Below are 18804 nucleotides of genomic sequence, written 5' to 3'. Positions count from 1 at the left end.
TTTGTATATAAATATATATACATACACTTTTTACTTTTCAATTAAAAATAAAGACTAGCTTGTAAAAGAAATAAAAATAAGAATTAATACCAGTTCTCCACTAATGCTTCCAAAAAATTAAAGAGAAGATAATATACAGAGACTCATTCTAGAGATCAGTAATATCTTTGTACCAAAACCAGGCAGATAAATAAAAATGATATCTTTTATGAATATATAAAAAACTTCAACAAAATAACAGCAATTTAAAGTCAGCAACATATAAAAAGGATTATACACGATAACCAAGCAGGATTAATCCTGGAAGTCAAAGGTGGTTTATCATACACACAGAAAAAACCTATGCAATAAACCATATTATTAGAATAAAGGTAACAAAAACCGCAAGATTACCTAAAAAATGCAGCAAAAACATTTGATAGAATCCAATACTCTCAGAGTAAAAGCAATAAAAAATCTAAAAATAGAAACTCACTCAACTTGGTAAAAGGCATCTACAAAATTTCCATAGCTAATGGAATATATAATGTTGAAAGACTGATTTTTTTCTCCCTAAAATACTCTTTTTTTCAGGTTTTTATATTGGCAAAATACACGTAACAGAAAATTTGACATCTTGACTATTTTAAATGTTATTTTAAATACATTCACAATGTTGTGTAACCATCAATGCCATCCATTTCCATATTTTTTTTTGTTTTGTAAAACCAAAGCTCTATATCCGTGAAACAGTAGATCCCCATATTCCTCTCTCTTTAGCCCTTGGCAATCACAATTACACATTTTGTCTCTATGATTTTGACTACTTTAGATATCTCATATAAGTGAAATCATGTAGTACTTGTCTTTTTGTGATTGGTTTACTCCACTTAGCAAAATATCCTTAAGGTTCCATGTGTAGCATACTGCAGAATTTTCTTCTTTTTTAAGGCTGAACAATATTCCACTGTATGTATGTACCACCGTTAACTACTATATTCATCATCTTTGGTCACTTGCTTGCTTCCGGATTTGGGTTATTGTGGATAATACTGTTATGAACATGAATGTACAAATATTTCTTTGAGACCATGCTTTCAATTCTATTTGGCATATATCCAGAACCAGAATTGCTGCGTCATATGGTAATTATACTTTTAGTGTTTTGAGGAACCACCATACTGTTTTCCACAGCGGCTGTACCATTTTACATTCCCAATGAGACTGAACAAGGATTCGAATTTCTCCACATACTCACCACCTCACTAACACTTATTATTTGTGTGTGTGTGAGTGTGTGTGGGTGTTTAGTAGCATCCTAATGAGTGTGAGGTGATATCTCATCATAGTTTTGATTTGCATTTCCATAATGATTAGTGGTGTTAAACGTCTTTGGTGTGCTTAATGGCCATGTGTATATCTTCCGTGGAGAAATGGAGAAATGACTATTAAAGTGTTTTGCCCATTTTTTAATGGAATACTTTTTTCTTTTGTTGAGTTTCAGTTTTATATATATTCTGGATATTACTCTATTATCAGGCATATGATTTACAAATTCTTCTATTTCAGGGCTGCCCTTTTATTTTGTTTATATTGTTTTCTAATGTTCAATTTAAAAGTTTATGAGGTCTAATTTGTCTATTTTTTCTTTCGTAGTCTGTCTTTGGTGTCATATCAAAGAAATCATTGCCAAATCTAGTGTCATGAAGTTTTTGCCCTATGTTTTCCTCAAAGAGTTTTATAGTTTTAAGTCTTACATTTATGTGTTTGATCTATTTTGAGTTAATTGGATATGGTGTTATGTAAGGGTCCAATTTTATTCTTTTGCATCTGGATATATAGTTTTCCCAGCATCGTTTCTTGAAAATTTCTCTTTTCTTATTTAATGGTCTTGCTAAACTTCTTAAAAAATATTTTGTAATATATGCAAGAATTTAGTTCTAGATTCTCTATTTTATTCCATCGGTATATATGTCTGTCTTTATGCCATTACCACACTATTTTGATTACTGTGGTTTTAAAATAAGTTTTGAAATCAAGAAGTTTGAATTCTTCATTTTTTTTTTCATTATGTTTTGACTATTCAGGGTCCTTTGAGAATGCATAGGTCTTTTGTGATCGGTGTTTTTGTAACAAACATCACTGGGATTTTGATAACTCCCAGAAATCTAGAACAAAACAGGAATGACCATTGTGTAACTCCTATTCAGTATTTCACTAGAGGTTCCTAGTAGGGCAATTGGGAATAAAAATAAATAACAGGCATTCAGATTGAAAAGGAAAATGCAAAGTTGTCTCAGTTTGGAAATGACATGATCTTGTATACAGAAAATCTTAACGTATCAAGTATAATTTTTACACCAAATAAATGAGTTAAGCAAGGTTTTAATAGATGTATGGTTAATGTTTTTAAAAATTTGTATTTTATATGCTGGCAATAAACAAGCCAACAATGGAAGTAAGGAAAGAATTCCATCTGTAATAGTATCAAAAAGAATAAAATATGTATGAATAAATTTAACAAAAAAAGTGCCAGATGCACACTGAAAATTAAATAGGCGAAATAATAATCTTTTTAACAAATAATGCTGGAACAACTTAAAACCCCCTTGCAAAAGAATGAGTTTGACCCCTACCTCACAACATACACAAAACTTAACTGACACTAGGCCACAGACCTAAATATAAAAGCTAAAAATATAAAACATTTGGAACAAAAATAATAGGAAATATCCATAACTTAGGGTTAAGAAATGATTTCTTGGCCGGGCGTGGTGGCTCACGCCTGTAATCCCAGCACTCTGGGAGGCTGAGGCAGGCGGATCATGAGGTCAGGAGTTCGAGACCATCCTGGCTAACACAATGAAACCCCGTCTCTACTAAAAATATAAAAAATTAGCCAGGCGTGGTAGCGGGTGCCTGTAGTCCCAGCTACTGGGGAGGCTGAGGCAGGAGAATGGTGTGAACCTGGGAGGTGGAGCTTGCAGTGAGCCGAGATCACTTCACTGCACTGCAGCCTGGGCGACAGAGCGAGACTCTGTCTCAAAAAAAAGAAATGATTTCTTAGCTATCTCACCAAAGCATAAGTGATAAATGAGCAACAAAAAATCCTTAAACATTTGAGTGTATCAAAACAAAAACTTTTATACTGCAAATGATATCATCAAACTGAGAAGACGACTCACAAAATGTGAGAAAATACGTTCATATTATATTTCTGAAAAGGGACTTATATAAAGAATATATAAAGATCTCTTAACACCCAACTACAACAAAACATAACACAATTTAAAAATGGGCAATGATATCAATAGGCATTTGTTCAAATAAAATATATAAGTAGTCAATAAGCACAAAAAATGATTAATGTTATTAGTTATTAGAGAAATACAAATCAAAATCACAGCAAAATACCATTTCATTGGATATTGAAATCCTCAGTACAATGTATATAATAGAAAATACAGACAATAACACATGTTGGTGAGGATATGAAGAAATTTTAACCTTCAAAATTTCCTTGTGTGGATACAAAATGATGAGGTCACTTAATAAAACAGGATGGATGTTTTTTCAGAATATTTACCATAGAGTTACCATGTAATCTAGGAATTTTACTTCTAGGTATTTACCCCAAAATATGAAAACGTGTCTACAAAAAACTTGTACTCAAATGTTCATAGTGGTATTATTTATGGTATCCAAAAAGTAGAAACAATTCAGTGTCCATCAGCTAGTGATTGGACGAAATGTGCTACACACATACAATGGAGTATCATTTAGAAATAAAAAGAATGAAGTCCGGAAACATACTGCAGTATGAATGAACCTTGAAAACATAATATAAGTGAAAGAAGTCAGATCATGGTGATGTTTGCACAATTGTAAATATCCTGAAATACATTGAATGTTACACTTTAACATGTGATTTATGCGGCATGTGAATTATATCTTGATGCAGCTATTAACAAATATATGGGATTTTGGAAGGCATTGACAGACATACTTTATGAATCAGGCCAGTGCAGTGCATTGCTGGGACATCAAAAGCCTGGTCTCTGTCCTGTGATTGAGCCCTTTACAGATGTGAGTTCATAGGTTCCCTGCCTAACTAGCCTTCTCTAACTTTTCTGGGACATTGTTTCACCTTATATCTTCCTGTTGGTCTTAAGTCAATAATACATCCTCACTAGAACATTTTCAGTGTGAAATGTACCAGGATTTTCTTGGTCTTTTTACATGTCTGTCGTCATGGTGCTGAGGTGGTCTATTAACAAACGTACCCAAAGTGAGATTCACCACCTCCTGACCCTTTTTCTTGGGCTGTGAATCACCTCAACATGGATATATTGTTCCTTGACCAGTGGGTGTTCCATCTTGTTTACCTATAAGTTCAGTATATTGGACTGCTGTCCAAAGATGCTGTCCAAAGGAAGATGGCCTGCTGTCCAAAGAAAATTTTGTCTCGTTGACTGTCCTTCTAGGATGCTTCTAGACACTGATTCCGTGATTTAATAGAAGTGCTACTTGTCAGCAGGCATGATGTACATCCACCACTACAGCAGGTCACAGTAGAGCGTTGCTCTACCTATTGGCCCACAGTAGTGCCCCAATTCACAGTACACCTCTCATCTTTGGTGGTTTCTGATTAAGCTCCTTTATGACATAATTTGTGAATCATCCTTGAGTATCTTATCTTTGAATATGTGTCCTGATTAAAAAATGCATTTCAGGGAGAGGGATCTGTGCCACAAGATGGATAGGAGATATCCAACATTCCACATCTCAAGTATTCCAGAACCAATATAATGAATACATAGATACAGTGTTGGGGAAAAAGGCGTGTGCTGAGACCCGCTGAGCATTACAATATAAAAGCCATCCTATTGACAATTTCCATCAGCCTGGAACTGTTGTACATCAAAGACTAAACTCAATTATTAAACTTCTCAAGTCAGTCCAACTTCCTTTTTCAGAATTATTTTATAATTTGTGGTTATTTTTCTACTTTTTAAATATTCAGTGGGTTTAAACTTTTTTTTTTCTGATTTTTCATGAGAAAATCCTGTTGTGCTTTTTCTCATCAATGTGATTCCACTTTCACAGTGGCTGCTGACTTCTCATACTACATGTCCCTCACATTGCCATTAAATATGATTTATGTGATAATTTACATAATTACATAAGTAATTTATGTAATTATTTACCTCACTTTACAAATAACTCTTTTAACATAAAAACAGATCTATAATCTTTTACTCAGCTAGGTTTCTGCCACACATCATCTTCAGAACATCTAAGAATTCACCATGGTGACATATTCCTAAACAGATTTCCCTGTTGCAGACAGAATTGTAATAACTGCTGATGAAATCCTGAAGAATGTTGATGTATTGAAATGTATTTTGAGAACCACATTTTAGATTTCAAATTTTATTGAAGATCACTTCAAACTCTGTTTTAACCATAAAATTGGTGACAACATGATGGATGCTGTACCCTTATGAAAGTTTCTTCATAGGCTTATTAGAAATCCCCTCCTCCTCTCAGGATGTCTTGAACTTTTGTTGCTCTCAGTCTTATGCAAACTGTGATTTAAGAGTCTCAGCAACTTCATGACAAGTCTTGGGCTAAGAAAACTTTGAATGTGAATCAATATCTATTAAAATAAAAATTTGTTCCTCTTGGATTTGTGTCTCGGTCAGTCACTTCAGATCCCTCTGCCACTGTAGCTCACATCTGTCAGGGTTTAGGGGAACTGAGGTAGTTTGAGGGGACCATAAACTCTTTCCACATTCAATATTTAGTTCCTTGTATCTGCTCACCACATCCTTTCCCCTTCAAGCTTCACTAGACCAGCAAGGCACCCTCACAACTGCCAAGCATTCCCATGGCACCATTAATCTCCTCTGAGAAGCTCTACATGTCTTTGAAGTCTTGAAGCTAATCAAGGTTTAGAGAAACAAAACAACAATAAAATGTGTCACAAGTTATAAATTCTAATTTTATCTCCTACCACACTGGCCTCCTTGCTGTTTCTTTAAAGTGCCCATTGTTCCGGCTGCCTTGGTGTTTACATTTCTTTGTATATAGAATATTTTTTCTCAGATAACTTTTAATTGACAATTTTGCTTAAATGCCTCATTATTAAAGTCTCTACCCTCATTCTTGTGCAAATCAATGTAAAAAATATTATGTGGCTTAAACTTGGTATTGTGGAAACCTGGTACCTGATGGCTCCATTGCACTTTGCTGAGCTGTTGCAAAGAGAGACCCGCCACAGTGGAGGTGCAGGTACGCGTGCTTCAGTTGGATGACTGATTGATGGCTGTCCTTTCTCCAGAAAGGTGGTGTGGGCCCTTTTTTGCGTATTCCTGTAGCTGGGGTATGCTGTGTTCAGTCTTTTCTGCACATACTTACAGAATGTGACTACTCATCAGATTGAAAGTCAGTAGAGAGAAAGAGCTGCTACCTATTCCAACAGAGTTTTTTTTTTTTAATATATATATAGTGAGATTGAGAAGATGAGGATATAAGACTAGCAGGTTAACCATCTAGCGGCACTCCCCACCCCTGCCAGTACACCTGGGATTTCCCCCTAAAGAGCAATTATGAAGGCTCAGACCTGTGTTTCTAAGGTGTCCCCCCAGGCCAAGGCATTGGCATTAGATCCCTCTGATATCAGAGGACTCTATCAGGGCCCCGGCCAACAGGCAGCAAAGCAGGGTCTGCACTAGGAGAGACACATGTTCAAGAGCGTTTTCATTCCTCACCAAACAAAAGCTTTCCTTAGATGTAATCAAATTGCTTATGTTGAAGTTTAGCATCCAGCCACGCATTTAGTTATTTATTCATTCACTCATTCAGTCATTCATTCTTTCAGCTTTTATTTCTGCTAAGTCAGTTATGGGCTGAGCATTTTGCTTGGGGCAGGAAACACAAGCTGGACGGCACACACCAGTCCTGTTCTCAAGAAGCCTGCAGCACTCTGGGAGGAGAGTCCACAATCACACAGGAAATTTTACAATGGTAGCTACAGTAAGAGCTACAGAAGAATATACAGCTACAACATATTGTAAAATGGTTTAACAATATACCTAAGGGAAACCTGAGGTTCAGGACAACCCACGGAGAAAATGCCACTTACAAGAAGACACGAAAGCTATGCAAGGCCCACCTTGATTTTTGATTACGACTCGGTCTTGGCACCTTATTTTAAAGATCTGTTTCACCTGCCATGCACACTCAGACTCCTGCCTGGGTGGTCACATGGGAGCACTGTCAAGTCCCCACATCAGCCAAGGCTTCTCTGAAGGCTGTGAGACTGGCTTCTCTGTGCACATGCCATTGTACACCGACCTCGTTCTCGGTGTCCTGAGCCACTCCTGCTGCCTGCCAAGGACAGAGTGGGATCGTGACCAGAAGCAAGTATGGAAAACACCTTTGGGACTCTTGAGTTGTTTAAATATATTTAATCAGAATCATGACACATTGTATTTTTAGGAAAATACGATTAACTTCTAAAATTAAAGTATTTAATTTAGTTGATGAGTTTATCCTCAATTAGAAAATAAAGTATTTTCTAATGCTTTATTAGAAATAAAGTATTTTCTAATGCTTTATTAGAAATAAAGTATTTTCTAATGCTTTATTAGAAATAAAGTATTTTCTAATGCTTTATTAGAAATAAAGTATTTTCTAATGCTTTATTAGAAATAAAGTATTTTCTAATGCTTTATTAGAAATCAGGTATTTTCTAATGCTTTATTAGAAATCAGGTATTTTCTAATGCTTTATTAGAAATAAGGTATTTTCTAATGCTTTATTAGAAATAAGGTATTTTCTAATGCTTTATTAGAAATAAGGTATTTTCTAATGCTTTATTAGAAATAAGGTATTTTCTAATGCTTTATTAGAAATAAGGTATTTTCTACTGCTTTATTAGAAATAAGGTATTTTCTAATGCTTTATTAGAAATAAGGTATTTTCTACTGCTTTATTAGAAATAAGGTATTTTCTAATGCTTTATTAGAAATAAGGTATTTTCTAATGCTTTATTAGAAATAAGGTATTTTCTAATGCTTTATTAGAAATAAGGTATTTTCTAATGCTTTATTAGAAATAAAATAAGGTATTTTCTAATACTTTATTGAAATAAAGTATTTTCTAACTGAGGATAAACTCAACTCATCAATTAAATTAAATGCTTTAATTTTGAAGTTAATTGTATTTCCCTAAAAACACAATGTGTCATGATTCTGACTAAATACATTTAAGCAACTCAAGAATCCCTAAAGTGTTTTTAACACTTACCAGCTTTTCACATCAGTCAGAAAGGCTATTACTAAAAAGTCAAAAAAATAACAGATGCTGGAGAGTTTGTGAAAGAAAAGGAATGCTTATGTTGGTGAGAGTATAAATTAGTGCAACCACTGTGGAAGACAGTGTGGCAATTCCTCAAAGGCCTAAAGACAGAAATATCATTTAACCCAGCAATATAAATCTTTCTATTATAAAGACACATGCATGCATATGTTCATTGCAGCACTATGGACAATATCAAAGACGTGGAATCTTACCTAAATGCCCATAGGTGATAGACTTGATAAAGAAAATGTGGCACATACACACCATGGAATACTATGCAGTCATGAAAAAGAATGATACCTTGTCTTTTGTGGGAACATAGATGGAGCTGGAGGCCATTATCCTTAGCAAACTAATGTGGGAAGAGAAAACCAAATACCACATATTCTCGCTTCTAAATGGGAGCTAAATGATGAGAACACATCGACACATGGAGGGGAACAACACACATGGGCCAGTTGAAGGGTAGAGGGTGCTGAAGGGTGAAGGAAGAGAATCAGAAAAAATAAATAAGAAGTAGTAGGCTTAATACTTGGATGATAAAATAATCTATACAATGAACCCCCATGCCACAAGCTTACCTATCTAACGAACCTGCACACGTACCCCTGAACTTAAAATACAAGTTAAAAGAAAGAAAATACTTTCCACATAGGGAGGAGAATGGCGAATGAGATTAAAGAAGCAATGTTTCAAGTAAGAAGAACAGATATTTTCAACAAATGCCACTTATTTTATAAATAAACCAACTGGCATTAGATTAGAAATCAGGTAGCCTACAGGGGGTCATCTCACTTCTCATTGCTCTGGCTTCTGTAAGTTAGTATGATGCACTTAGGATTGGCTGGCACTTGCCTAGAGTGTGTTATGACAAGCTGAGTCCAGCAGGATCTACTGGGAAGAGGAAGAGGCTGACAGGGAAAGAGGATAACTCAAAGGCGCAAAGCAGATCAGGGCATACCAGTGAAGATGAGGGGAAACGGGCACTCTTACATGTTTCATATAAGAATTGTATCAGGTCCTGCTTGCATTGCTATAAAGGAATACCCCAGACTGGGTAACTTATAAAGGAAAGAGTTTGAATTGGCCCACGGTTCTACAGGCTATACAGGCATGACACTGGTATCTGCTGGGCTTCTGGTGAGGGACTCAGAAACTTTTATTCATGGCAGAATTCAAAGTGGGAGCAAGCATACCACAGAGAGAGAGAGAGAGAGAGACAGAGAGAGAGAGAGAGTGCAAAGGGTGGGAGGGGAGGTGCCACACATTTTTATTCAATCAGATTTCAAGATAACTCACTGTCACGAGGACAGGACCAAGCCATGAAGGATCCATCCTTATGACCCAAATACCTCCCACCAGGCCCCACTCTCATATTGGGGGTCACATTTCAACATGAGATTTTTGAAGGGACATCCAACCTATATCAAGAATATAAACTGGGACCCCATTTCTGAAATCTTGTCTATTGCAATTTGAAATTAATAACTGAATGCTATTTACAATGTCACAAAAATAGAATACTTAGGTCTAAATCCAAGAAAACATATACAGAATCTATTTGTGGAAAACTATAAAATTCTGAAGAAAAATATCAAAGATCAAAAGTAATGGAAAGATGTTCTGCGTCCATGGAATAGAAGACTCGATATTGGTAAGCTGTCAGTTCTTCCCAGCTTGATGTGTAAATTCAATGCAATCCCAATTAAAGTGCCAGCAGGCCATTTTAGGTTATTTGTGCTTTATCATGGTCAACTGATTCTAAGTCTATATGGAAAGGTGAAAGACCCAGAATAGCCAACACTCCACTGAGGAAGAACATATTGGAAGACTGAACTACCTGACCTCCAGGTTTACTCTGAAGCTATAGGAAACATGACAGTGAGGTACTGGCAGAAATAAGCATATAGATTAATGGAACAGAACAGAGAACCCATAGTGACTCAAAAAATATATTCACTGCTCCTTGGCAAGCAAATGAAACTCAATGGGGAAACGATAGTCTTTACAACAAATCATGTTGGAAGAATTGGATATCCATATTAAAAAATAAACTCAGAAAACTTACACCTTTTGCAAAAATTAGCTAAAAATGTATGAGAGTTAAATAGAAAAGAAATACTATAAAGCTTCTAGAATTTAATAGAGAAAATGATGGGTTTTTTTGTTTTGTGATGAGTTTTTAGATATAATGCCAAATAGATGAAATATAAAAAGGTGATAATTTGGAAATTGAAAACTTCCGTGAAATGTAATGTTAAGAGATTGGAAACACTAAAGAATATATTTTTTTAAATAAAGAACTCTTAAAAGTCAACAATGGGAAAAAACTCAATTAAAAAATGAGCAAAAGATCTGAATAGACTTCTCACCAAAGAAGATATGCAAATAATAAATAAACACACGAAGACAGGCTAAAAATTATTTTTCACTAGGGAATTTCAAACTGAAACAACAAATACCTTCTTCTATTCCATAAGCAATTTTTAATCATTATTTATTTATTTCAGTCCCGGGAATGAAACCGACTTGATAGTGGTAGATAAGCTTTTTGATGTGCTGCTGGATTCGGTTTGCCAGTATTTTATTGAGGATTTTCGCTTCGATGTTCATCGGGGATATTGGCCTGAAATGTTCTTTTTTTGTTGTGTGTCTGCCAGGTTTTGGTATCATGATGATGCTGGTCTTATAAAATGAGTTAGGGAGAAGTCTCTCTTTTTCTATTGTTTGGAATAGTTTCAGAAGGAATAGTACCAGCTCCTCTTTGTACCTCTGGTAGAATTCGGCTGTGAATCTGTCTGGCTCTGGGCTTTTTTGGTTAATAGGCTATTAATTATTGCCTCAATTTCAGAACTTGTTATTGGTCTATTAAGGGATTCGACTTCTTCCTGGTTTAGTCCTGGGAGAGTGTGTGTGTCCAGGAATGTACACGTTTCTTCTAGATTTTCTAGTTTATTTGCATAGAGGTGTTTATAGAATTCTCTGATGGTGGTTTGTATTTCTGTGGGATCAGTGGTGATACCCCTTTATCATTTTTTATTGTGTCTATTCGATTCTTCTCTCTTTTCTTCCTTATTAGTCTGGCTAGCTGCCTATATTGTTAATTTTTCCAAATAACCAGTTCCTGCCTGAAACTATCATCAGAGTGAACAGGCAACCTACAGAATGGGAGAAAATTTTTGCAGTGTACCCATCTGACAAAAATCTCATATTAAAAATCTACAAGAAACTTAAACGAATTCACAAGAAAAAAAGCAAACAACCCCATGAAAATGTGGGCAAAGGATATGAACAGACACTTCTCAAAAGAAGATATTTATGCAGCCAAGAAACATATGAAAAAAAGCTCATCATCACTGGTCATTAGGGAAATCCAAATCAAAACCACAATGAGAGATCATCACACTCCAGTGAGAATGGCGATCATTAAAAAGTCAGGAAACAACAGATGATAGAGAGGATGTGGAGGAATAGGAACACTTATACACTGTTGGTGGGAGTGTAAGTTAGTCCAACCATTGTGGAATACAGTGCAGTGATTCCTCAAGGGTCTAGAACCAGAAAAACCGTTTGACTCAGCAATCCCATTACTGGGTATATACCCAAAGGATTATAAATAATTTTATTATAAAGACACATGCACATGTATGTTTATTGCAGCACTATTCACAATAGCAAACACTTAGAACCAAACCAAATGCCCATCAATGATAGACTGGATAAAGAAAATGTGGTACATACACACTATGCAATACTATGCGGCCGTAAAAAGAATGAGTTCATGTTATTTGCAGGGACATGGATGATGGTGGAAACCATCATTCTCAGCAAACTAACACAAGAGCAGAAAACCAAATACCACATGTTCTCACTCATAAGTGGTAGTTGAAAAATGAGAACACATGGACACAGGGAGGGGAACATCACACACAGGGGCCTGTCAGGGAGTGGGGGGCAAGGGGAGGGAGAGCATTAGGATAAATACCTAATGCATGTGGGGCTTAAAACCTAGATGACAGCTCGATGGGTGCAGCAAACCACCATGGCGCACATACACACCTGTGTAACAAACCCGCACGTTCTGTATATGTATCCCAGAACTTTAAGTATTTTATATATATATATATATATATATATATATATATATATATATATATATATATATACACATACACACACATACATACACATACATACAATAAAAATGAAAATGTAAAATATGTAATAGATAAAATGAAAATAGAAAAATTTTCTCAAAATTGCTGAATTAAGTTTTGGTAATGGTAAATGAAAAACATTTGTCAATGAAATAAAGCAAAAATTAAAATAAATTGGAATTATTAGTGTAAAGTTGAAACACTGGCAGAGAAGATGAAGAAAATTTAAAATATACAAGCATTTCAGAGAGAACAAAAGAAGTAAAAAAGAAATGAAGAAAACATATTACTACTACTACTAATAATAATAATGTGAAATGACTGAATTGAAGACAAAAAATATGTTTTTAATTAAGATGTTTTTCTGATAGCAATAAAATATTAATGAAAAAATACAACATTTTAAAATATCCTGAATTGTCACACTTCAATGAAGAAAATAAAACCTTACAAGCTCTTCTAATTGCTTTTTCATAAAAAACAATTTACTTTCAAAATAAAGCGGATATAATTTTCATTGGGCTTCTTATCTTCTATAGTGGAAGCTAACGATGTTTGACTTATATGCAGTTTTGATGAGACAATGTTTTTCAGCAATTTTTCTCTCAGGTAATGCCACCACTTATTATTCTGTTGAGAATTGTTTAAATAATTTTGTATTTTTAAGATGTTCAAAGACTCAGAAATTATTCTATCCTTCTTCCCTATCTAAACAAATTATTTCAACAAGCAGTGTAACCAAAATCGTTAAGTCCAAAGTATGATTAAAACAGAACTAGATTAAATATGAAAGCAACAGTCATGAGAAAGTATTTACACTGTGTAAAACATAACTTTTCACTGATAATGATAATGCAACAGAGGATTTTAATTGAGAAAATAATAACAGTTCTTAAAATTAAAGAATAAATTCCCAGACCTGTGAATCCTAAACTATCATAAAACCAAAATTGGTGTATCTAGGACACTGGGAGAAGGGTAAAATACAAATATTCTAAAGTTTTCATCTCAGAAAACGGAGTAAACAGATTTTTAAAAATCTCAATATGAGAGCATAGGTGAGTGACAAATAGAAATGGAACATAACCTAAAACATATTTTTTCAAATAGGAAAAATAATTAAAAAGAGAGAAGCAGTAAATATAAAATTGATGTTAGACATTAAACTAAGTAAACACAGTAAACACAATAGTATTATTTTTTCTTATAAAATTATAGAAAATGTACTTTTAAAATTAATTTAAAAACGTAATTTTAAAAATGTAATTTTTTTGGGGGGAAGAGCTTGCTTATTTTATGTCTATAAAATTACATTTTAAAAATGTAATTTAAACAATCCAGCTACATTAGCAGAACTAAGCATGCTCCTTCCCCCTCAAAACACAAACAAACAAAAAAACGGAAGAAGAGAGAAAAATAATAAGACTTGGAGCAAGTTGGCAAAAAAAATCTCGAACAGGATTTCTCCTGTAATGTCAGTGTAAATAACAATTAAATCACATTTCAAAGTTAAAATTTTTAAAAAAGATGGAATTCATACAATTATAAAATGTATAGTAATACATAAGTTATATATATGTAAACTTTATATACTGTCACATAAAAGAAAATGGGAATAAATACAAATATAAATTCTTAAAAATAAAATTATTTTCAAAGATTTTAATAGATAGGTCCAGTAATCAAAATCAAAAACTTTAAAACACTTACAATTTTATATCTTACAAACTGACAACTTGCAATCATTTTATGATAGAAAAACATTTATATAAATAAATCATGTGCTAGTTTCCAGAAAAAAGTAATTAATTCTACGGGGGAGATTTTGTAAACTGCACTTTTTGATAAAAATTCAATAAATCTAAAAATAAAAATAAAGTTCAGAAAGACTTCTGATTCTGTGCATGATAAAGTAGCTGATACCATATTTTTTCTACCCATAAACAGCTATGAAACCTACATAAATATCCATATAACAATGATTACAGATTTAGAATGACAGTTAACCCAGGGCAATAATAATTGAGAGAGGAAGCTCATGAGTTATGGCTTGTATTTGTTCTGAATTTCTTTTTGAGGATATTTTCCAGGCTGAAGTTCAGAGAAGTCAGTCAAGGCTGAGAGTGAAAGTTATGCTGAGCTAAAGAGAATGAGAAAAGAGTTGAGAGCTTTACAGAAATCCCAGAAGGCAATGACTATGAGCAAATTGTAGAAAGGAAAGTGTAGAAGTCTACATTAAATCAGCCTCTTTGGTTCTTGGCCAGTTTCTGAGATTTGATAGAACTCTGGTCTGCCTGTCAGGAGGAGTAAGGCTGAATGGATGTAGTGGAGAATTCATAATGTCAGGGAGATGCTGAAGTCCAGGCTGCTTAAAGTGAAGTGGCCTTTCAAATACCCTGAATATTCTTTTAGCAACTAGAAAGACCATGCTATAGAAGTGTAGGTTATGTTCTGGAAATAAGAAAAACTGCAATATAAGGCCCTAACAAGTTGTAAAACTGGGCCTTGAAATGATCAAGGTAATTGATTATTTTATAATTTAACTCAAATTTAATTCAGAACAAATTAAAAATGGAAAATGATACAATTTTGGTTCTTTACAATGTAATAATTACAATGTCCAGCACGAAATTAAAAATTTCTAGACTTTCAAAGAGGCTGAAAAAATGGACAAATTAAGAAGTAATACAGTCTAAGCAGAGGGAGAGTTTGTTTAGATATTTTACTTCACAGAAAATGACCAATATCTTAAAATTAATAAAGGAATTATAGATAAGAAATATGCAAATATGGAGTATCTTATAATAATTAGAATTTATAAAAATATAAGAAACATTATTACAGTGTAAAATATATAATAACTAAGTTAATAATTCATTGAGAGAGAAAAAATCACACTGGATTCAGCAAAAGATAGGTTAGTAAACTTGAATACAGTTAAAGAGAAGATATTAAAATTGAAGCATAGACATGAACATGAATAAAAAGTATAAAACATGAAAAAACTAGAATATGAACAAGAAGTTTAGCAAATATGTAGTTGGGGTCCCAGAAAGAGAGAAGAAAAAAAATAGGAAGTGAGCAATATCTGAAGCAAAAAATTACCTGAAGATTTTCAGAATGCTTGAAAGCTATTCAAGATGTTCAGTGAACCACAAATTGAATTAATATAAATTAAATCCCATCTAGATATATAAAACTTAAACTTGTAAGCATCATAGAAAAAGAGAGAACTTAAAAGCAAGTGGGAAAAAAACACAAACCAACAATAAAAATGAGAGCTGAATTTTTAACGGAAGCAATGGAATTCAGAAGACAATAGAATAATATTTTTAAAATATCGAATAAAAAAAGACACAAAAAAACTGGCAACCTTTATTTCTATGACCAGCAAATTTCCTTCAAAAACAAAGGTTAAAAAAATGTCTCAAGCAAATAAACGTGTCAGCATTCCCTCAGGGTTGTCAACTCTAAAGGAAGCGCATTAGTTTAAATGCAAATGAGCCCAGATTGAAGAACCGAAGTGGAAGGGGTATGACCAAAAAATAGAGGAGAATCCTTGGGCCAGCTGATTTGGTTGTGGAACCTGAGCACTTATGGCAGGGATGGACCAGTGTCTTTCTCTAGACCCTCCATACAATAAGGGCTGGATTCATGAGGTGCAAACAGGCTATTTATCTTTATCAGAACTCAGAGTTGGTGGGATGCTAGATTTTGTCTCTACAGTTGATCTTCAAAAGGACTACATACTAACTACTATGCGAGCAAGGCCATCTAATATACTTTACAAAATGGAAAAGTTTTTTTTCCTGCTTTTATTTATTTTTTGGAAAAACAACTGTTATTATTGAATTGTCTTTTATTTCCTTACTATTAATATTTTAAAATATTAAATATACATAAAAGTAAATGCTATTCTCATAAATACTTTTTTTTAAATAAAACAAGATGAACTCCACATCTTCATAACTCTGCGAGGTGTAAGGAGACTTCTTAGAAGTACTTTTATCTACTTAATGTTTTGAGTCAGGATTCTACATTTGACATGTATTTGACTTTGTATCCCAGGACCTGCATCATGTTTTTAAAGCTGTGATTGTTGTTGACATGAGGTATGGAAATCACATGGTGGAATGCCATGCCTGCTACTTCATTGTCTCCCAAGTGAAAGGGACCGTGCAGTGCACTCTCGCCAGAGTGATTTCAAGCCTGGTCTCACTTCTTGAAATCACTCTTCTGGTGCTCTCTTGTTGACTAGATAGAACAAAGGGAAAATGAAGATTTGAATTCTGTTGCCCAATCAGTAAAACCACCTTAGGCACAGTGCTACATATGAGGGCGCACACATACTTAAAACATCTGAGGAAAATACCCCATTCATAAAAAGCAAACTGGCAATTGTGTTTTCCGATCTTGACTGTGACTTAATCTGTTGGTAGTAACGACACTGTTTAGAAAAACAAAGTGTTTTTGTATCTTACTATATTTGTGTAATTACACTTATTATTGCAAGATTCAAATGTTCAGAGACTCTCTGTCTTATTTATGCTTGTAAACATTTCAGCATCCAGTTGGAAACATAGGTAGGTAGGTAGGTAGATTAAATAAATAGATTACATAGATAGGTGATAGATAAATAGATGGATGGATAGATAGATAGAGTGCTCAAAAATAAAGTGGGTATTCAAAATGGAAGAAGTTAAGGAAAAGGAAGAAAGGAAGAAAAAAAGGAAGGAAAGACCAGACAGGAGGGAGAAAGGATAGTAGAGAATGGAGAAGCAGAGAAAAATTTTGGCTACTCAGTAATTTCAAAGAGGGTTTTCTGTAATACTCTTAATATGTATCAAACCTGAAGTCCAATTACTTATCTGTATTAAATGATGTATTTTAATATATTTAACTGGGAGAATATACAGTGAAATATTTCAAAATGTATAAAAATAACAATTTAGTAAATTGAATGCTAAGTAAATAAAAATATAAATATGGACAGATAAAAACAAGCACTTTTTCTTTATGCTTTTTCTTTTTGTAAAATAATGACATTAATGTTGATATCCATAACAAAATCCGTGAATACTCCTCTTTTATCATTATTAGGAGTGCATGTTTATTTTTAGTGGTTAAGTCAATTTAGTATAGTTAGTATTATTATTGACTTATTAATAGTATTATTATTATACTTCAAGTTCTGGGATACATGTGCAGAACGTGTAGGTTTGTTACATAGGTTTACACATGCCATGGTGGTTTGCTGCACCCATCAACCTACCATCTACATTAAGTATTTCTCCTAATGCTATCCCTCCCCTAGCCCCCCAACCCCCAAAAGGTCCCAGTGTGTGATGTTCCCCTCCCTGTGTCCATGTGTTCTCATTGTTCAACTCCTACTTATGAGTGAGAACATGCAGTGTTTGTTTTTCTGTTCTTGTGTTAGTTTGCTGAGAATGATTTTTAACATTTTCCCCATTTTTATTGTTAGGTCCAAATTTTGGTCTGGAGCCAGAGACAATATAGGATGAAGTTTGATTTGTTCCAAAACCCACAGAAATCTCTAAAATGGAAGAATTTTCTTAGAACCAAAAGGCATGGAATTGATGACATGAAACTGGTAAGTTTAGAAGCTGTGCAAATGTAGGCCTGACAATCAAAGATGCCTTCTGCAGATTCGTGAGTTTAGAGTTCGAGAAGCCAGCACCACCTTGCAATCGGTTAATAATATAGTAGCTGATAAGCTGAGTGGGAAAACTTTCATGTAAAATATAATGAGAAGATTTTTTTTTTCTCTCCTTTTGGTATATATTTGAAAATCTTTTAAAAATCTACAAAAAAAATCGATGTTACAGTCTTTACCATTTGCTTAAAAAAAAAGGTTTTCCACTCGTTCATCTCTAGAAGGTCATCTTTGAGATGTACAAGCCAGCCCTTCATTTAGGTCTCCTCTTGCATTCATATTTAACTTTCTTTCATTCGGTGGCCTTTATTAGCTGAGCTCCTGGAGCTTGTAGCACATTTTAAACAGCAACACTGGAAGGATGTAAATGCAGAATAATGTATCAGGACTCAAATTTGCATGGTCAAATGTCAAAAAAATTAGGCCTTCCCCAGAACCATGTCAAGAGAAATAACATAAGCGGGCAAACCCGACAGCAGGCATGCCATTATCATTTAGCACAAGCTGTCATCACTGCCGGCAAGTGGAAGCAGTGGTCATTAGCTGGAACTCTGCCGGGGGAGGTTGCAATTCTTCCTTTTCCTTTTTTTAAAGATTTTTTTATTTTTTTCCCCATCATCTGACAGT

The 18804-nt window shown here is 34.1% G+C and overlaps 1 long non-coding RNA gene across 24 annotated transcripts in view; it reads left to right on the top strand.

Moving 5' to 3' along the window:
* The window catches only part of LOC107986400 (uncharacterized), a 137038-nt gene that overhangs the window by 43420 nt on the left and 74814 nt on the right, over window positions 1-18804 (top strand). For all 24 annotated transcript variants that reach the window (XR_007059111.1, XR_007059113.1, XR_001742563.1 and 21 more), the window contains one exon: window positions 17986-18114. This is a non-coding gene — a long non-coding RNA (uncharacterized LOC107986400). The remainder of the gene's footprint in view (window positions 1-17985; window positions 18115-18804) is intronic.

Source organism: Homo sapiens, chromosome 5, assembly GCF_000001405.40.
Source record: "Homo sapiens chromosome 5, GRCh38.p14 Primary Assembly".
Classification (NCBI taxonomy): Eukaryota; Metazoa; Chordata; class Mammalia; order Primates; family Hominidae; genus Homo; species Homo sapiens.
Note: the sequence above shows the minus strand (reverse complement) of the source record. Positions and strands in the feature narration are given on the sequence as shown.